At 47.4% G+C, this 21,816-nt stretch overlaps 1 protein-coding gene across 9 annotated transcripts in view, besides 1 other annotated feature; it reads right to left on the bottom strand.

Annotated features, from left to right (window-relative positions):
- Nucleotides 1-21,816, bottom strand: part of KIAA1671 — a 244,733-nt gene that overhangs the window by 54,311 nt on the left and 168,606 nt on the right. The gene's annotated exons all lie outside the window — the stretch shown is intronic.
- Nucleotides 19,136-19,305: an enhancer, noted in NCBI's record as "experimental_63138 CRE fragment used in MPRA reporter constructs". NCBI's record gives its function as "activates a minimal promoter by MPRAs in K562 erythroleukemia cells, with activity observed for both the introgressed and non-introgressed 22:25519885 variant alleles {active_cell/tissue: K562}" and the evidence as "EXISTENCE:reporter gene assay evidence [ECO:0000049][PMID:34662402]".

The raw sequence follows: 21,816 nt of genomic DNA, 5'->3' as shown, positions 1-21,816 counted from the left end.
GGTGCCCAGGACGGGGAGAGCCTGAAAAATACCTGAGTAAATAGACGTGGGAAAAGGGTGAAGGCTTGTGAAAAGATCACAGCCCCTCATCAGCCTTTGTTTAGAAGCCCAGGTGTCCCTACCAAGGAGTCCTCACACTGGAGAGCTCTGAGTTTGAGAACGGAAGCGCAGCTGGGGCCTGCCTCTGAAGGGCCAGTCCCCACTTACTTCCCAGGTAAGGCACAGGAGCACCTTGGATTCATTCACCTGGTTTATTTTATTATTTATTTATTTTTTTGAGATGGAGTCTTGCTCTGTTGCCCAGGCAGTGGCATGAGATTGGCTCACTGCAACCTCTACCTCCCGGGTTCAAGTAATTCTCCTGTCTCAGCCTCCCAAGTAGCGACTACAGAAGTCTGCCACCACACCTGGCTAATTTTTCTATTTTTATTAGAGACGGGGTTTCACCATATCAGTCAGGCTGGTCTCGAACTCCTGACCTCAGGTGACCCACCCGCCTCGGCCTCCCAAAGTGCTGGGTTTCCAGGCGTGAGCCACCATGCCCGGTCCATCCATCTGGTTTAAAAGAAGCACACATGGACAACATCCCACTCACCTCAGCCCCTGTGGACCCAAAAAAGCATTTCAAACCAGACCCTCTGGCGAAGATGGCAGCTGGAACCAGTGCAGGGGGATGGTGCCAAGAAATCCTGGTGACCATGGAATTGTTGGGGAAGAGCCAGAGCTGTGACTCTACTGTGGCCTCCAGCATCTTATTTATGGCTGAGAGGACTCTGAGAAGGGATCGGATTCGGCAACTTGTGGGCAAGTTGTGCAGACTGCTGATTTTCCCCTTCTCGTGTAACTGAGTATCAGCGCCATCTCAGTGGGCAGAACATTCCCACGAATTAAGAGTATCAACCAGGATGGATTTCCTGTTGCTAGGCAACCAGAGGCTGCCGCTAAAGTACACAGTGCCCCCAACCCCTAGGATGCTAGTGTGGAATTGCAGGGATTGCAGAGGTTAAGGGCCTGCTGCAGAAGTGCCTGATGGGGAAACTGGCAGCTCATGAATTCTTAATCTTGAACAAGCAACCATTTTGGTGGTGTCTCATGGCTTATAAGGTGCTTCCCAGGGATTCACCCCATCCCATCTCTCCTCATTTTCCCTGTAAGGTAAAGGTTATATAGCATTATCATTAAAGACTGGGAAACTTGAGACATGGACAGACATAGGAGCTTGACCAAGGTCACGGAGCTAACACATCACCGAGCCAGGGTTCCAAATCACATCTACTGAATGCCACACTTTGGAAGATGCCAGACAGGCTCGTGAACTTGTGGTCTAAGTCAGAACCTCTGGACCTCGGCTTCAGCAGGCTGGGAAAGGAAAATCCCGTGATGCATCACCTCTTTAAATAAAAGGTGGGGACATGCGTAGGCCTGGATTGGCTGTTCCCAGAAGGTAGGGGAGGGTAGTTAGAAAAGAGATATGTCACTCCCAAACCCTGGTGATTAGGGTTTTTTCCCCTGATTACAGAAGTTATACATTTTTCACTATAAAATATAAATATAGATCTAGATATAAAGATACATATATTAATAAAAATTTACAAAGAAAAAAATGGGCAGGGTGTGGTGGCTCACACCTGTAATCCCAGCACTTTGGGAGGCCGAGGCAGGCGGATCACGAGGTCAGGAGATTGAGACCATCCTGGCTAACACGGTGAAACCCCGTCTCTACTAAAAATACAAAAAATTAGCCAGGTGTGGTGGCAGGCGCCTGTAGTCCCAGCTACTCAGGAGGCTGAGGCAGGAGAATGGCGTGAACCCAGGAGGCAGAGCTTTCAGTGAGCCGAGATTATGCCACTGCACTCCAGCCTGGGCGACAGAGTGAGACTCTGTCTCAAAAAAAAACAAAAAACAAAAACAAAAACATGCAATCTCACCACTGAAGAGAATCACTGTTAAAATGTGGGTGAATTTACTTCCTGCCCATTCTTTGATCCTTGTTTTATAAAGCTAGGATAAAAATATAGGGGTAATTTGGCAGGGTGATTACATGTTTAACGTCTGGTTCTCCCAGTAGGCTGAGGAGCTCCTCTGAGCCCAGTCTTATCTGTTTTACAGTCTTATGAGGGCCAGAGGTTCTGAGACGTGAGGGCCTTGTAGGAAGTTCCACAGCAAGTCCCAGGAAGAGCCTGAAAAATAACTCTACTCTTCCAACTCCCCCTCACTTCTCCTTCCCATATATTTTTGACCAATGACCTGTCCAGGAGCTGGAATAACCATTCATGATGACAGTGACCACATATGAAATGCACTCTTTGAGGTACGGACAATTTCTCATACCACGCCTCTGCTCAAGAACCTCCTACGGATGCCTGTCATACACAGAATAAGTCCCAATGCCCTCACTGCATCCTATGGGGCCCTTGCCCACTGCTCCCTGTTCCCCACTTCTCTGGCATCGACCCTCACGGCTCACTGCATGTGGCTGACAGACCCCGAGGTGCCCCTCCCAGGATCCCTGCCTCCTGGTGTTCACGCCCTGTGTGAGCCCCTCCCCTTGGGTGCAGGCAGAACCCATGACTTACTTTCATCCAACAGAATGTGGCAAAGGGGATGGGATGTTATTCCCCTGCGGCATCACATTATAGAAGACCCTGCCTTGAGAATGGCATGAACCTGGGAGGCGGAGCTTGCAGGGAGCCAAGATAGTGCCACCGCAGTCCGGCCTGGGCGAAAGAGCGAGACTCCGTCTCAAAAAAAAAAAAGGAAAAAAAAAGAGAAAACCCTACCTTGCTAGCAGGCTCACTCTAGAGATACTCCTTGCTGGCTTAATGAAGCAAATGGCCATGAGAAAGCCCATGTGGCAAGGAACTGCGGACAGCCTCTAGGCTGGACTCCAGCTGACAGCCAGCAAGTGGCCAGGGCCGTCAGTCCTCTACCCCAAGGAAATGAATTCTGCCAATAACCCAAGTGAGGTTGGAAGCAGATTCTCCCGTCGAGCCTCCAGCTGAGAATGCAGCCCAGCCAACACCCGGATTGCAGCCTTGTGAGACTCTATGCAGAGGACCCCTCAACTGGGCCTGGATTCCTGACTGACAAAAACTGTGAGATATTTATATTATTTTAAGTCACTAAGTTTGTGATCATTTGTTACGCAGCAGTACTAATCAATTGCACTGCCACCACACCACTTCTCAGCTTCACTCACTGCCACCTGGCCACAAAGACCTCCATGTGCTTTCTAAAGTAAGCCAAGAACAGCACACTCCGTCCTTAGGCCTTCACACTTGCTGTTCCCACTTCTGGCATGTTCTTCCTTTTCCTAGATATCTGCAGAGCTCTGGGCTTCATTTCTTTCATTTCTTCTATGTTCCCTCCTCAAAGAGGGCTTCCCTAAGCTCTTGTGTAAAGTACATATGTCCCCCAAAACCCATGCCTATCTCCCCAACTTTGCTTTACTTTTCTTCACAGCACTCACCACCCATGATATTAGACTGCTTTTGCTGTTGTTTATAGCCTCTCTTCCCAACTCCAACTAGAAAGTAAATGGTCTGTTCTCTGATAAATCCCCAGCACATAGTAGGCATGCAACAAGCATCTGCTGAGGAGATAGATGGTGTCATTAAAGCCTTACCACATCTTTGACAACTGGATGGAAGGGGAAACTAAAGCTCAGAGAGGCCACGTGATTTACTCAAGGTCACACAGCAAGTAGGTGGCAAAATCCAGATTCAAGGCCAAGTCTGCTGGACCCCACCTTTGTACCATACAGCCTCCCTCCACTTCCTGAGGCCTCCTCTGTAACCAGGGAGGCCTGCTTCTGATTCAGGGCTCCTCGCCAAGATAAGGCAGCCTGCCAAGCCTGCATCTTCCTGCAGCCTTCCCAGGGTGAGCCCCATCAGGGGGGCCTCGGCTCCCCCTTCTTACTATGTAATTGCCTCTCTGAGAACCCCAGGCAATGAGCATTTCTTCTATAAATATCTTCCAAGCAGCATCCCCAGAATTCCCAACTGAGAAAAGATGAGCACAGATGCCCAGGAGACCCATTACAACATTGCCTAAAAGCCATAGTAATTGTTCCTCCACTACTTCTCAGTTGGGGTCTGGGGGTGGTGTGCAGTGGCTGGTGCTTCTCTCTGCTCAAGCACTGAAGTTGTTTTTTCCTTTCCCTCAGAGGGAAGACCAGGAAGGGGGTGGGATTCCCAAGCACCCAAAGACAAAACATCTTCCTGAGATCTCTGGAAGTTTCCTGGGTCATGGAAGCACCTGGCACATGGCAGACACTCGATAAATGTTGCCCACCTAGAGAAATGCAGGCACCAAGAGCTACTCAGCAACACTTTGGTGGGTTGAAGAGATATGGGCCTGAATATCTTGAAAGAACTCTGAATTTCTTTGAAGAACTCTAGTATTTGAAGGTTGATGTTTTGTTTTTGTTTTTGTTTTTCACATCACAGGTTCCAGTCCATCTCTAGGATGAACCAACAGATGAATAAATGAATGAATATATCAAAATCAGAGATGGGGCTGTACATGAGAATAGGTGAATGTTCAACTCAGGGATCGTTAATCAATCTAAGCAACAAGAGCAGAGTTAATCCAAAAGGGTGGCTCATGCTTCAGAGAAGGAGAAAATGGACTTGGGCAGACTTATTTCTACAAATGAATTGATAAAGATCATGTTGAGACTGTGTCAGGCAGACCATACTGCAAGGCACATACATCCAATGTCACTCCCTACCGAAGGATTATATACCCCTCTTGGTCTCAGGTGCAGTCATGTGACTTGCCCTAGCCAATGAAATGCAAGCAAAAAGTGCTGTCACTCATTTCCAGGCAGAAACTTTAAGAGCCAATGACTGGTTGGCCATGATCTCCTTCCATCAGCCATGCAGCCGGCTGTTCCCACAGGCAACCTATTCCATCAACCTAGGCCACCAGAGTAAAGATGACATGGAACACAGACACAGCCAATGACAGCGGGCATTTAGAATGCTCAAAAAATAAAAACAAAACCTATTTTTCTGTTTTAAGCCACTGAAGTTTTGAGGGCCATTTGTCACTGCAGCACAACCTAGCTGATCCTGACAGATACAGAGGCAAACAATTTTTAGACAAGCACAAGAAAAATGAGTCATTGTACACTGAGAATCTACTGCAGGACAGCCATTCACTTGGCATATTTAAGTGGAGGAACTTTTGAGATAAACAGGCCTCGGTTCTAATTCCAGCTCTGCCACTCTTTGACTGTGTGACATGTTAGGCCTAAGTCACTTAACCTCTCTGGGCCTCAATCTCCTCCACTGTAAACTGTTTACTTACTGGAAACTTTCCCAGCTGCAGGCAGGTACTGGCAGGAGGACAAACTCTCCCAGAAAGGGTTGGGCAACTTTTATTTTGGTTTGAAAGAAAATCACTTGATGAGGACACAATGGTAAATAACAGTGATTGAGCAGAAAGTGAAAAACACACTTATAGAAGTTGGTAAACTGTGCCCCATTCGATTCCTCAGCACATGTCCAGTTTACCTAACAATCGGGGACAGCTTTGAAAATCAGGCAGGTATACAAAAGTGCCTCTTTAAGAAACAAGAGATTAATCTCAAATGTTCTTGTTTATCACCTGTTTTTTAACATCAATTATTGGCCATTATGTAATTCTCCCGAACTGAGGGAAACAAAGGACAGTCATCATGAATAATAACCATTCCATGATTCCATGACACTTTCCTAAATTTAGCCTCTGACCTTTACAGAGAGGTGTTACCACAGGCCTGGTAACATAGGAAGAGAATTCGGGCTGTGGGATTTGGTGACTGCTATTCCTATTCTTGCTGACATCCATGTCCTCCTGTTCCCTGATTGAAAAAAAAAGTAACAATTTCGTGTTGGAAACACAAAGGGGTACCCTTTTGAAAACAGCAAAGATGAAATCAGAAAGTCAGTAACACTCCCTTGCCCATGGCAGACATCAATAATCAATTACAGAAGTGAGCTTAGATAATCTCAGAGAATCCCTAACACTGCACCCCAGGCAGCGACTCCCAGTCATTTAGAGTTAGCAAATATAGGGAAAGCCACTTGGTACCCTGCTATAGGCTCACCACCTGGTTATCTTTGAACAGAATAATAGGATTGCGGAGCTGAAAGGTATTTGCATCTAGAGTGCCCAGCCTCTACTTGCTAAACCTCACTATTTCACATTTCCTAATGCCTGAAGTATCCGTATCATTCTGAATGCCTCAAAAATGTACCCTTTTAATGGGAAACTCACTACTTGTCTATCCCCCAACTAGGGAAAAGTTTCTCTTTGGTTTTTAAAGAAAAAAACCATTATTGGTCTAAGTTCTGCCTTGAGAGGCATGATGTGCTACATTCACCTACTCCAGGGATCCTCTCAAAGGTCTATAGCTCTGCCCCAAGCTCCATCTCCTCCAGGATACACAGACAAGCATCTTTGGCTATAATCAGAATATACACGAAATGCTGACATGCAGAAGAGGCTCAGAAACCTGGGAGACCACGTCCCTGTGGTACAAATGGGACAAATGGAGGCAAAAACGGGCAGGATTTTCTGGGTACTGCCACAGAAATCCCAGCAGGGTACTGCCCAGAAATCCCAGGCTTCCTGACTCACGGTTTAGGGCTGTTTGCGTGATGCCAAGCTCTGAATTCACATTATCCCTTCTCCCCTTTGAGAACATAATCAGAAATGCCACAGTCTGGTTCAGTGTAGAAAAAAGCAAGAGCTCAGAATCAGCCACACCTGGGTTCAAAATCTGATGCTTACTGGCTGTGTGATCTGGGTGAAGCCCCTTGTTGTCTCTGAGCCTTGATTTCTTCATCTGAAAAGCAAGGATCATAATGCTGATTGTGTTTGTGTCTGTATGAGAGAGAGAGAGGAGGGGGTGTTTAAAACCAAGAATGAAATGAAAGATATATAAAAGGCACATGAAGCAGGGTAGATACCTAAGGAACATGAGCTCCCTCCCTGTCTTTCTCCTCTAAATAGGGCCAAGGAAGTTTCCTACTCAGAGCTCAAGTTAGCTGCAGAGTACACAACTCTGGGATAGGCTGTGCTCCTGGTCTCAAGTGCAAGCCCTAGTTCAAATGCTGATTCTGTAGCCTGCCAGCTGTGTGACCTTGGGCAAGCCACTTCACCTTCCTGAGCCTCAGTTCCCACAATTGTAAAGCAGGATGATAATACCTACCTCGCAGGGTGGCTGCAAGGATGCAAAGCATCAAAGGACTTGAAGCATTTAGCACAGTGCCCTGGGCACATGGTAAGCGCTCAATGCACGTCAGCCATCAGTACTGTGGTGATGCTGTCGTGACGTGGCTGCTGTCTGACTTTGCAGTGAACTGGAAACGCAGAACCAAAGAGGACAGCCCAAGAGGATGTGCTCTCCCTGTCCTTTTCTGGAGCTGACACCCACCAGACAGCCACGTGAGGGGCAGAATCACCTTCTTTTTGTAGCTGCCATTTTATTATAATAACATCTAAAAGGTCATATTTCCCCAATTAAGAGGTGTTAATTAGTCACATGTCTGACTTCAATTCTTTAGACTTCGAGAGTGGGAAGGAAATTTCAAAACTGTGAACACAGAGGGAAGAACAAACAGCCAATACTACACAAAGAAACACACAAAAATCCCAAAATCAGCTGGGCACAGTGGCTCATGCCTGTAATCCCAGCACTTTGGGAGACCGAGGCAGGTGGATCACAAGGTCAGGAGATCGAGACCATCCTGGCTAACACAGTGAAACCCCGTCTCTACTAAAAAATACAAAAAATTAGCCAGGCTTGGTGGCGGGCGCCTGTAGTCCCAGCTACTCGGGAGGCTGAGGCAGGAGAATGGTGTGAACCCAGGAGGCGGAGCTTGCAGTGAGCTGAGATTGCGCCACTGCACTCCAGCCTGGGTGACAGAGCGAGACTCATCTCAAACAAAACAAAACTAAAATCGCAAAATCCATGCAGGGAAAGCCACTGGCACTAACAGCCCAAAGTGCAGACTAGCCCTCAAATTCTTGTGAATATAAACTAAATGAGATGGGGCAGGGATAGGGACTGTCACAAACAAATGCCTTACTGTCATGTTACATCAATCCTTTGGCAACTCAATGAATCTACCCAGAACTCAGTGGTCACCCCTAGAAAATGGAATGTACGTATGATGATTAGGATAACTGCTAACATGTATAGAGTGTCTGCTACGTGACATGGTGCTAAGTGCTTTACCTGTATTATTTAATCTTTACATCAGGTCTGCCTGTATATTATTATCCTCAATTTACCTGAGAAGAAACTGAGGTTCAGAGAAGTTAAGGAGTTTACCCCAGGTTACAGAGCTGGCAAGTGGTGGGTCTGGGATTTAAATTCTGGTCTGTCTCAATCCAAGCCTTGAAACCACTAGGCCTCCCAGCTTTGCAAAGCTGCAGAGCGGCAGCATGGCTAGGCTGCTGCTCTCCTGAGCTGCCTCCAACTCTCTGGGCTGGAGGCTGCAAGGTGATCTGAGCTTTATTGCTCATTTCACAACCCCAACTGGGACGACAGAAGAGACAACACAACTCCTACTTAGGTCTGTGTAAGTCAGAGACATTTAACTACTATTTCCAAGGTCATTGTGGAGATGATTTTGTTTTGACAAATTGATAAATGCAAAAAATAAAATGCCAGTACTTTTAAAAACAATAATGAAAAAACCGTATGCATCACATGCCTATAAAAGTGTTGGGAGAATCAGATTTCGGGTACACACACACACACACATACCAATACCAGGAGAGCAAGCAGGGCTAGGGAGATGGACCCCACCCTCCTTAAAGTTCTTCCTGAATTGCCTGCCAGCCAAACCCATGGTAAACACAAGAATCCAGCTGCCAAGCCCTCTGGCACATTCATTAATTAAACTCTATGGATTTGCTGTGTTCCCGGAAACATCCACTCATTTCAATAATAACTGGAGGCCAACCAGGCTCAGGCTGAAAAAACAGCATGCAAGGTACTCAGTCACAGGGGAGGGCAGCAAAAGGAAACCCAACTCTGCGGCAAAGCTCTGCCTTCAGGCTTGCTCCAAAGAGGCGGTGTCACCTTGGCCAAGTTGTTTCTTTGTCTGGGCTGAGGCTCTCTTCTCTAAATAAAGGGGGTCCTGTACCAGATGGAAAGTTCCCCTTGTGGAATCTCAAGGCCCTCTCAGGCCAGTATCTTTGCATCTGGAAGGGACACCAATGTCTAGACTGAGGGTGATGTATACATCTATGCATGTACCTTCCTCTCCGCCCAATAAAAATCAAGGAGGGGCAGGATGCGGTGGCTCGCACCTGTAATCCCAGCACTTTGGGAGGCCATGGTGGGAGGATCGCAAGAACCCAGGAGTTCAAGATCAGCTTGGGCAACATAGCAAGACCCCATCTCTACAAGAAAAAAAATTTTTTAATTAGCCAGGCACCATGGTGGGTGCCTGTAGTCCCAGCTACTCGGGAAGCTGAGGCAGGAGGGTCGCCCAAGCCCAGGAGTTCGAGGCTGCAGTGAACTATGATTGCACCACTGCACTCCAGCCTCCACAACACAGCGAGACTGTCTCTAAAAACAAACAAAAAAATAAAAATACAGGAAGAAGGAACTAACATTGACTATATAAAGACAATTCGAAGAACAGAGTCTTTTGATGGAAGCTAATCTATCTACTTCTAAAAGGAAAACAAAATGACCAGGCCCATTTGAAGTGTGTTATGCAAGATACAACCTAGTGAAATGCTTTGTGAATTCTGTGGTCAACACATGCTACTGAAACCTTCCAGTTAGAGGCACATTTCTCCCCCAGACTTAGCATTTCTGAAAGTGGAAATCTTACCATTGGTGTGTACGTTCAGTGTAGTGAGATTTCCCCAATCAAGTCAGTGAGCAAATCTGCAACAATTCTCTCATCTGAGATCTCAGAAATACAGCAGGGTGCCAAGGACCACGTCTGGAGGTTCCTAATGTATATTTGCATAATAAAAGGCTCTGAAAAGTCCTGCATTAAAAACATTGTTTAACCAAGTGATTCTTAAATATATTGTCTCTGGTATTTTTTTTTTTTTTTTTTTTTTTGAGATGGAGTCTCACTCTGTCACCCAGGTGGAATGCAATGGTGTAATCTCGGCTCACTGCAACCTCTGCCTCCTGGGTTCAAGCAATTCTCCTGCCTCAGCCTCCCAAGTTGCTGGGATTACAGGTGCCTGCCACCACGCCCCGCTAATTTTCGTGTTTTTAGTAGAGATGGGATTTCGCCATGTTGGCCAGGCTGGTCTCGAACTCCTAACCTCAGGTGATCTGCCTGCCTTGGCCTCCTAAAGTGCTGGGATTACAGGCGTTGGTATTCTTTATCCATGGAACACTCATTAAGGTGCTTCCATGAAGAACTCTGGGAAATGTCCAGGCTGTGAAAGTGAGGAGAACCTGTAACAGGGATCTTCAGTAGAGAGACAAGGTGGGAACAGCTGGCAGGGTCTAAGGTCACTTCCAAGCCCTGATATTCTGGAGATGTATCTATGAAATGTCCACTTGGACTCACCAGCCCCATAAGAGGTACCATTCACATGAATCTCACGTACTTCCCAACAGACTCCTGAAACACATTACAGATAAAGAAACCGAGGCTCCGAGAGGGGCAGAAACTTGCCCCCGGGTCGCTCAGGAGGTAACTGGCAGATCTGGGATTTGATCTGGGGTTTTTCTTACTGCACAGCCTGTGTTCTTTCTGCTATGCCCCCTGACCCCAGTGGGTCTCAGCCCTGGCTGCACCTTAGAATCACCTAGGAGCTTTTAAAACTCCAACCGCCTGGACTGCATCTCAGACCAATTATGTCAGATGTCTAGGAGGTGGGGCCTGGGTACTTGCATTGTTTGAGAACCTCCGTTCTCTAACAATAGTTTGCAAACTGGAAGGGTGAGTGAGAGCTTTAGTAAAGGTTTTGGAAACAATGCAAGCCCCTGCTTACAGATTATATGTGTCTTGTTAAGTTGCATTGATTTAAAACAAGTGGGGATCCAAGAAGGGACAAATGTGTCTGTTTTCTTTGAAAAGTGTGACTTCAATCAATTCTGGGAATAATATAACAGCACTCATAAACATCTCCCAGACAATTACCACAGCCATCACCACCACCATAATCACAACAACAATGGCTAACAGGTGTTCCTAATGGCCAATGCTGCGCTAAAGAGTTTCACACCCATCAACTCGTGTCAATCTTACAACTCTATGCGGTTATGCCCCGGCCATCCCCTTCAGAGGGGAAGACAGTGAGGCACCAAGGGGCAAAGTAACCTGCCCACAGCCACCCAGCCGGCAGATGGCAGAGCTGGGATCTGAACAGGGAACCAGCCTGCTCCCAACCTGAGATGCTTCAGTGAGAAGAAGGATGGCATCACCCTGTTCTCAGACAGCACAGAAAACTGTCTCCACCACAGGGCTCCTCCCTGACCCTGCCCCACACGACAAACAAAACAGGACACATGCAACAGGCAGGCGGGCAGCCAGGGCTGAAGGTGGCCCCCAGTGTTGAATGGCTTCCCAGGGTGACATCAGCCTGAGCCCATGCAAATGGCCTGTGCGCCTGACCAGGCCAGGGACCTGAAGGGTGACTTCATCCCTAACTTTCCCTCAGGGATGAGCAGCCCCGTGCCACCTGCCAGGCCCCAGAGGGAGAAAACCTGAGCCAAAGACCCTAGTCCCCTTAGAAGCAGCAGGGACCTTGCTAGGCCCATGGGTGTGGGCACTACCTGTGAGCTGAAGAGGTACCAGGCACGTGCCGGGCACTTTGTGCATCCTAAGCCCCAAACCTGTGCAAAACTCCAGTTCTGCAGAGGGTACCATGGGGGCAGGGAGGGAAAAGGGACCTTCGCAGGCTGTAGGTGTGTTCCCTGAGCATGGCCTCAGCTCTCCAGGGCTGGAAAACACCCAGATGGCACCCTCCTCATCACTGCATGGAAATCACCATACGAAATGCTAAGAACTCTGAGTTGGAAGCCCAGTCTCTTCCAGAGCAATCCCTGTGTGTCACTGGGCAAGGCCCCCACCCTGTTTGAAAGTCTCCTCATTTCTGACTGGGGGTGGTGACCAGCACCACATCACTGGTTTTCTACTTTCTTTTCCATTTTTGAGCTTTAGAAAAAAAATCTCTTTAAGCAAAATCATATTAGTCCAATATATTAAAAACCTCAAGGAGCAACCTTGGTTTGGGGTGTGGTGGGTAAGTTATGGGAGGTGGGGCCCTGGAATCTTACCTCTGTCTTCCTGGTCACCCATGCCTTGCCCCTGACATTCAGGCATGGGACTCTAAGCCTCTAAGCTGTGCTATTTCCCCAGGAGGGACAGGCTTCGAGGGCAGTGGGGAGAGGAGCTCTCCACCCAGAGGCTGGGTCACCTGTGCTGCAGGTGCCGGGAAAGGCACAGCTCCGAGTGGAGGCCCAGACACCAAGGAAGCAGGGAGTGTAGAACTCATCTAGATGTTTACGATTCCTCACCCTTGTCTTTGACAGTGTCCCCCGCCCCTCACAGGATGGGACTTCTTTTTTTAGCAATTTGCCTGTATGGAATCTTTTCAAAGTGTTTAATTAAGTTTTCAGAGTATGACAAATCTCTTTCTCTTTGCAGTTGTATCTCATACATTTATATAACAGCTAATCGGGTTATGTAATGACGATTACAAGTAGTACAATTGGCATGAAGAGGTTTGGGATCAAATACGATGGATTCTCAGTACACATTCTTTAACCTACTCATTCATTCAAGAAATGTCTATTGAGAGCCAGAAAAGCAGGGACTAAGTGGAAAGGGGCTAAGGGAACTTTCTCTGGGAGATGAGAATGTCCTAGATCTTAACAGGGTGTGACTTACACGGGTATGTGCATTTGTCAAAACTCAAGCTATACCTTTATGATATATACCTTTTGCTGTATGTAAATCATACCTCCAAAATATTTATGTATAACAGTTTATGTATTTATTTATAATATTCTTATAAGATAGCAGTAAATATAATCATATTGATAATAATTGCTTATTTATTTAAAAAAATTTTTATAGAGCTGACATCTCACTCCGTTGCCCAGGCTGGTCTCAAACTCCTGGGCTCAAGCGAACGTCCTGCCTCAGCCTCCCAAAGTGCTGGGATGACAGGCATGGGCCACTGCACCCTGTCTGTTAATAAGCACTTTTAGAGCCAACTATGTGCCAGGCACTGTTCTATGAGCATTGTATACGTCAACAGATGTATTCTTCACAACATGTCCATAACATATTGTTATTTTCTCCATTTTAGAGCTAGGGAAATTGTTGGGCATGGTAACCTGCACCTATAATCATAGCTACTTGGGAGGCTGAGGCAGGAAGAGTCCTTGAACCCAGGAGTTCTAGCCTGAAGTAAGTGAGCTAAGATCATGCCACTGCACTCCAGCCTGGGGAACAGGGCAAGACCCTGTCTCAAAAAAAAAAAAAAAAGGAAAAGAGAAAAGAAAGGAGGAGGAAACTGAAGCACAAATGCCATCAAGCAAGCTGCTTAAGTCACATGCTGGTAGATTGCAAAGCTGGGAAAAGCTGTGATTCAAACCCAGGCCTTCTGGCTCCAGAATCTGTGGGTTTTTTTTTTTTTTCAGATGGAGTCTTGCTCTTGTTGCCCAGGCTGGTGTGCAATGGTACGATCTCGGCTCACTGAAACCTCTGCCTCCCGGGTTCAAGTGATTCGCCTGCCTCAGCCTTCCGAGTAGCTGGTATTACAGGTGCATGACACCATGCCCAGCTAATTTTTGTATTTTTAGTAGAGATGGGGTTTCACCATGTTGGCCAGGCTGGTCTCGAACTCTTGACCTCATGATCCGCCTCCCAAAGTGCTGGGATTACAGGCGTGAGCCAACATACCCAGCCCAGAATCTGTGCTTTTAGCACTAACTAGTCTTTTTTTAACTCTGCAAAATAGGGAGCCCCCCCACCGCCCCGCCCACCATGCCGCCACCATCCTCATGGCACTCCATGCTTGGGAGAGAAACATAACAAAGGACCACTGACTTGGCTCAAAGGACTGACAGAGCACAGACAGCAGGGAGAACCCCAGCCTCTGCACCCAGGGCCCTGGCACTAAGTGCGGCTGCCTCCCTTGGTCTCCATCCTCAGGAGGATTATGAGGGTTAAGTAACGTCCAACATCAGGTATGCAAATGCACCCGGTACTGCAGCTGGCACACAGCAGGTGCTTGACAGGGGTAGGTTAGCTGCATAAATGAGCCAAGGACGGAATCCAAACCAGCTAATCAGAAGCCTTGTATTATATTAATTCAGAAAGGATTCCAGATTCACTCTGGGGAATACTGCCTGATTCCAGTCCCACACAGCTACATAAATGGAGATCTGTGAGTCTAGCATTGCTGTGAGAATCTCTGGGTCTAAAGCAATGGCTTATGGGGGTGCAAAGAGATGGGGCTGGGGCTGGGGCACCCACAGAAAAGCCCAAATAGCCTGGAGGGTACCAATTAGGGGAGTGAGAACAAAACCAGACTTTCTCGGTTGGTCAGGACAAGGACTGACCATTGAGTTCTTGAGACTGGACCACAACAGACCCACAGTCTTCTGTAGTCCTCAGAGAAGGGAGACTTGCCCTCATGGACACAAGTTGCTGTTGAACAGGAAATTCAGAATTATAATCTTGAGCCTCTCCAAATCATGTTCCTGGCAAGATAGCACAGCTCTGCTGGGCCCTCATCATCCACCCAACACCTGGTGTGAAGCCAGCTAGGAGCTTGGCATCCGTTCATGCACTGGTCCATGCATTCATGTATTCATCCATCAGATATGTATTTATTTACTTATTTTTATGAACATGAAGAAACATTAAGGGATTGGTCCTTAAAGGGCGGTGTCCACGTAACCATCTCTACCTGGGGCTCACCTAGAGCTCTTGCCACACAAAGCAGATTCTGGGTCCTTCCTCAGACCCCCAAGGCACCTGCCTGGTACTCTCCTCGTGGCACCAGGACCCAAGATATATCTGATGCCCACCCAAGTTTGAGTTCAATCTTCATATCTTTAGCCCTCTGTAAATGCAAGGATATCACAACTCAAAGAGGTTGAGGCCCTTGGCCAAGGTCCTAGATGTCAGAAGTGTGGTGCCAGGATTTGAACTCAGGCCCATCTGTACCCCTGTTGTCTCCTCCTCCACCCCCATCCCAGCAATCAGACACCACTGAACCACAGCAGCCGCTTCACCACAATTCAGCTCAGAAACCATTTTTCAACCAATGGCACTAAGTTGTTGAAAATCCACGGGGCTCCGCATCCCATGAAAAGATTAGGAAACTCACTAAGCAGATCTCTAATGACCTCCATTCTTTTTTCATCTCCCCCACAAAAGGACTTGTATTTATGCATGAGAAGAGGAAAAGAAAATCCAACATAGCATATGAAAAATCTCTAACTGTTCAGCTCCCAGGCGTGTATAGGAATGCCTCCTACTTAACCCTTCCTTCCTAATTAGCCGTGGCTGTTAATGACACACAAATATGCTTTGATCATCAAGTAGCAACTTAGGGGTGGGGTGGGGCAGGATGGGATGGGAAGAATCTTGCAAGGGGGGCAGGGAAGCCAAGTGGATGCAAAAGAGGCCGGGAAGAAGAGGATGGGGCTGCTGGCTCTATGCCAGGCCCATGTGTCCACCTCACTCCCTTCTAACAACTAAAACACTCGAGGCTGGGGGTCACTCTGGAGAGAAAATGGCACCATTTGAAGAAGAGGCTTAACCCTCTTAAAACACCAGTGGAGCCTGTGCCACGGTTCCGTCATTCCAGGCAGAGGGAACAGCTTGTGCAAAAGCTGGGAGGAAGGAATGTTGTTGCCAAGCTGTGAGCAGCCCTGGTGGTCCAAAAGGGAGGCCAGGCAGAGTGAAGCTACTGAGCACCTACCAGTGTGCCCAGCACACTCGTTACTGTATGGAATTCTCACCACCATGAAGAGTATTATGATTCCCTTTTAACAGATGGGGAAACTGAGGCTTGCTCAAAGTCTTGCTCAAAGTCACATGGCTAGTAGACAGGGGAGCAGGGATTTGAATCTGAGCTGATTTTACTGCAAAGATCTTAAGAGGTCACACCACAACCTCTAAAAAACATATGGGGAAACTGAGGCCCATAGCCAGTGTAATGGAGAGGACATTGGTTCAAAGCTGCACAACTGGGATACACATATGCTCACTTTTCTAAAAACCCAAATGCAGGGACGGAGTCTCATTATTTTTAACATATTACACAGCTGACTACAGGGCTTTTTGCAAATGATAGGAGCTCAGTAATTGTCTGTGGCTCAACTCCAAAGGATGTCAAAGTTGAGAATCACCTGGCCTCCAATGCCTCAACAATGAATTTAGAAACCCAAGCTCCAGTCCTGTGTCTGTCATCAATTTGCTGTGTGACCTTGCACAGGTCTCTCTCCCTCTCTGGGCCTTGGCTTCCTCAGCTGTAACAAAAAAAGAAGTGAACTGGAAGGATCTAGATGTTCTGACAACCAAGGCTCAGGAACTCCTCCATGAAGAACAATTCCACACCAACCTCATGCCCCTCAGCTACCTGTTTACATGGGCACCTAGGGCTCATTTAAAAACATTTATGGATAATGAAACTCAACACGTCATCTGCCAGCATGGCTACCTTTGTACGCTCTTCAAATGCAGCACCAGAGGCTCCAGAACATCCCAGGTTTTTCCTGCCAAGATGTCTGCAACGTGGCTGCCACATCCAACCCTCATCCTTCCCAAAGCAGAAGGCAATTACCAAGAAGAAAAGAACAGGCTCCTAGCTACGAATTAAGGAATTACCGGTGTTAAATCATAGGTGTGCCCAGGGAAGGGCTGTTTCTAGAAATCAGGCTGGTGATGGTGGGAACGTGAGGTGCTGGATAACTTCTGGCTTTGGCAGAAAGCAAATATTTGGACATGGAGCCAGGAGATGAGGGACTGGGAATTAATAGACCGTGAAGAGTACTTCCAAACACCAGAAAATCTGCCCCCATCTGAACCTCCCCTTTGACAGGTGATAACTAGAATGACAATAAAAGCCACTGTTTATAAAGAACTATGTGCCCTCCACCAGCATCTCCTGTCACTCTCGTAACAACTCCGTGAACTGATATTGTTTGCGCCACTTTGTAGCAAAAGAAAAACGCTTTATCAGAGCAGACAGACTTGCCCAAAATTACACCAGGAATCAAAGGTTCTATTACCTAAAAGGGTATTCCAAAGGCCTACTACTAATACTTTGGCCTTGTCCAGAATCTGTTGGGTAAGGCCACATGGTTACTTAAGGACTGGCAGGGGTGTGAACTCACATCCCAGGATGAGCTCTTACGATCTACATCAGTGGTTCTCAACCAGGGTGACTTTGCCCCTTACATTTGGCAATGGCTGGAAACATTTTTGGGCATCACAACTGGGGATGGGAAGGATGGTGCAGGCATCTAGTGGGCAGAGGCCGGGGATGCTGCTCAGCATCCTACAGTGCCCAGGACAGCTCCCTATGACAGAGAATTATCCAGCCCCGAACGTCAATGTCACCATGGTGTGAAACCCAGTTCTACACCATGGTACCTCTCAGGAAACGAACCCCAAATCTCTCAATCCACTTCCTCAAATGGGAGGCACAAGAAATGAGACGTCAGCAGACCTGGGCTGGAGTCCATGCTTGGTCGACTATGAACTAGGTGACTCTGGGCAACTCACCTCTCCCCAAGTCTCAACTTTATCATTTGTAAAACAGACCCGACATAGATAATACCTCTTGGATGGGGTTTCTATAGGGATTTAAGACAATCTGCTTAGCTCAGTGGCTGGCACATGGTCAATGCTTAAAATATGTTACTCTTTAAGCCTTAATTTCCCCATCTGTAAAATGGGACAATAGCCTCTGCCTTGAATGTGGCCCTCCAGTTTTTTCCTCTGAAATTTTTACAAAGAAGTCACATCTTCCCAGATGGCCTAGATGCCAGATGCGAACAACCTGGAGAGGCGCCTGCTATAGATGGCCCCTGGACCAGCAGCTAACTTTGCATGAATACGAAACCAACAGTCAGGAACAGTGGCTCATGCCTGTAATCCCAGCACTTTGGGAGGCTGAAGCAGGAGGACTGCTGGAGCCCAGGAGTTCGAGACCAGCCTGGGTAACATAGTGAGACCCCCATCTCTACAAAAACTACAAAAAATTAGCCAGACATGGTGACACATGCCTGTAGTCCCAGCTAGTGGGGAGGCTGAGATGGGAGGATCGTATGAGCCTGGGAGGTCGAGGCTGCAGTGAGCTATGATCACAATGCTGCACTCCAGCCTGGGTAACAGAGTGAGACCCTCTCTCAAAACAAACACACACTTGGTGTTAAGTGTCTGAGAGCTGGCAGTTTGTTACTGCAGCATAGCATACTCTAATCTGACTAATGTATCAAGGTTGTAAGGATAGCAACTGTGCCTGGCATTTATTATGCACTTCCGAGGTTCCAGGCATCATGCTGGGTACTTCACAAGGCATCTGAGGCTTGCAGAATTAAAGTCACCTGTCTGAGGTCCCAAAGCTGACTAGTGGCAAAGCTGGCATTCAAACTAAGGACTGTCTGAAGGGAGAGCCAAGCTCTGAACTGTACTCAGCTAATTCTACCTGCACCCCTCTTTTCTTGCCATCAAGAAAGAACAGCAGAAGATACCAAATCTATGCTTAGAAAACAAAAGTCAAAGGTGTTCACAAACTCTGCAATTTTTAATTCTTAGTAATAAGGTATGCTTCAGACCCTCCTTCCAAGGGAGCAGGGCAATCTGACAGAACTTCTCTGGACTAGAAACTGATGCTGGAGAAAAGCCACCATGCTCTCATATCTCTGCATAGCGGTCGCTGCTGTTTATGGCCCAGCTCTTACAATGAATGTTTGATGAGTTAAGTGGGGTAATGGGCACTTAGAATCCAAGAAACAAATTCCATCCCATGCTGGGAGATTCATGCCAACTCCTAAAAGGGTGAGCTGCTCAAAAGCCCCTGGGAGCCTGACCCCAGGCTGGCTGAGCAGCCAGCCTCCTTTATGGGCAAGAACACATGAGACAAGAAAGGTATCCACTGGGAATACCAACACCTACACATTACAGACCATGGGCAGGTCTTCCCACCTCAATTTACTCATCTGCAAGACAAGGCATTAAATAATACTCCCTGGCCATCCTTGGACTATTTCCACAAGCGTAAGTGAGAAGAAATGTGTACTAGTTATCTCTGGCTGCGTAACAAATAGCCCCACAACTCAGTGGGTGGAAACAACAAACATTTATTATCTCACACCGTTTCTGGAAGCCAGGGATCTAGGAAGGATTTCAGTGAATGGTCCTGGCTCAGGGTATCTCATGAGTTTGGAGTCAAGCTGTTGGCCAGAGGTGCAGTTTCACCTGCAGGCTGGAAGATCTGCTTCCAAGCTCACCTGTGTGCCAGATTTCAGTTCCTTGCTGGTGGTGGACTGGAGGCTTCAGTTCCTCACCATATGGGCCTCTCTACAGGGCTGCTTGAGGGTCCTCAAGACACAGCAGCTTTCCCCAGAGTGAAAGCTCCAAGAAAGGGAGTGATCAAGAGGGAAGCTGCAGTGTCTTTTGAAACCTCATCTCAGCCGGGCACGGTAGCTCACGCCTGTAATCCCAGCACTTTGGGAGGCCAAGGCGGGTGGATCACAAGGTCAGGAAATCGAGACCATCCTGGTTAACACGATGAAACCCCATTTCTACTGAAAAAACAAAAAATTAGCCAGGTGTGTTGGCACGTACCTGTAATCCCAGCTACTGTCCCCAGGCAGGAAAATCACTTGAACCCAGGAAGGGGTGGTTGCAGTGAGCCGAGATTGCGTCATTGCACTCCAGCCTGGGCGACAGAGCAAGACTCCATCTCAAAAAAAAAAAAAAAAAAAAAAAACCTCATCTCAGAAGTGATGCCATGTATTCTGTTGGTCACACTGACCAACCCAGTACAGCATAGAAGGGGACTTCACAACAGTGTGAATAACTGAAGGCAAGAATCACTGAGAGGACCACCTTAGAGGCTATCATGTTTGACTGTGCCTTGCCAACTATTAAGCTCTGATCAGATAACAATGGTGATGATGATAATGACTGTTTTTGTTTTTTTTGTGAGATGGAGTCTTGCTCTGTCGCCCCGGCTGGTGTGCAGTGGCGCGATCTCAGCTCACTGCAAGCTCTGTCTCCCGGGTTCACACCATTCTCCTGCCTCAGCCTCCTGAGTAGCTGGGACTACAGGCGCCCACCATCACGCCTGGCTAATGTTTTTGTGTTTTTAGTAGAGACGGGGTTTCACCATGTTAGCCAGGATGGTCTCGATCTCCTGACCTCGTGATCGGCCCGCCTCGGCCTCCCAAAGTGCTGGGATTATGGGCGTGAGCCACTGCAACCGGCCAATAATGACTGTTCACTGAGATCCTACTGATACAGGACAGGCAAAGTGGGGCTTAGTCCATGAGGGTTCTTGGCTTTGTCCAAGAAAGAATTCAAGGGCAAGCTGAGATGGAAGAAAACAGCTTTATTGAAGTGGCAGTGTTCCAGCTCCGTGACAGCCCCAGCAGAGCAGGGCTATCCCACAGGCAGAGAGTGGCAGCTCAGGGCAGTTTTGTAGTCACATTTATACCCACTTTTAATAACATGTAGACTAAGGGGCAGTTTATGCAGAAATCTCTAGGGAAAGGGTAGTAACTTTTGGGTCATTGGGTCATTGCCATGGAAAGGGACAGTAACTCCCAGGTGTTACCATGGCAATCAATGGGAAAGGGACAGTAACTCCCAGGTGTTACCATGGCAATCAATGGTAAACCGACATGTCACACTGGTAAGCGTGTCTGATTGGAAAGCTGCTTCTGCCCTGGTTCTGTTTTAGCTAGTCCTCAATGTGGTCCGGTGCCCGAGCCCCGCCTCTGGAGTCGAGTCCCACTTCCTACCTCACTATTATGCACCAAGCGTTGTGCTGCAGTTCCACATACTGCAATTGTGGGGGAATAATATTATTGGCCTCATTTTACAGAAGAGGAAACTGAGGCTTTAAAAAAGTAGGAAAACTACCCAAAGCCACATAGCAAGGGAGACGCAGAACCAGGATTCAAACTCACAACTCCCAGATCCCACAATTCACTCTCTTAACCAGCTGCGTATACTGGAGCTGGCTTGTCCTGGCCCCTGAGGGACAACTGCAATTTTCAGGAGCCAGGTATTAAACACAGCCATTACTGAAGATTAAACGATCTAAACTTACAATTAAAGAAATCACATTAAAAGCAAAAGTAATAAATATTCCCATCTCATCACTTCCTAATTACTTTGCTACATTTTATTATTTTCCACGGGCTTGCCGTCACTTATGTCTATTATATCTGTGTGGTAAAAATACTAAAGAACAGTAATCTACTGCCCATCTTTCCCCAACTTTGTGTTTAGTGAAAACTAGTTAGAAGCTTACAATTGGCTATGGTGGGAGTATTTATACCACCAAATTGCGCAAATGCTACCAATCAAAGCTTTTTCCCCAAGAAGACGGGGTTGTTAAACATTTTACCAGCACACCATTACAACTAATCTGTTATTTCTCTTGTAAGGACTTCTCTTGCTAAAGACTCCATTCTCTTTTTTTTTTTTTTTTTGAGATGGAGTCTCACTCTGTCGCCCAGGCTGGAGTGCAGTGGCGTGATCTTGGCTCACTGCAGGCTCCGCCCCCCAGGTTCATGCCCTTCTCCTGCCTCAGCCTCCCGAGCAGCTGGGACTACAGGCGCCCACCACCTTG

This window comes from Homo sapiens, chromosome 22, assembly GCF_000001405.40.
Source record: "Homo sapiens chromosome 22, GRCh38.p14 Primary Assembly".
In the NCBI taxonomy this organism is placed as follows: domain Eukaryota; kingdom Metazoa; phylum Chordata; class Mammalia; order Primates; family Hominidae; genus Homo; species Homo sapiens.
This window is presented reverse-complemented; position numbering and strand designations above follow the sequence as displayed.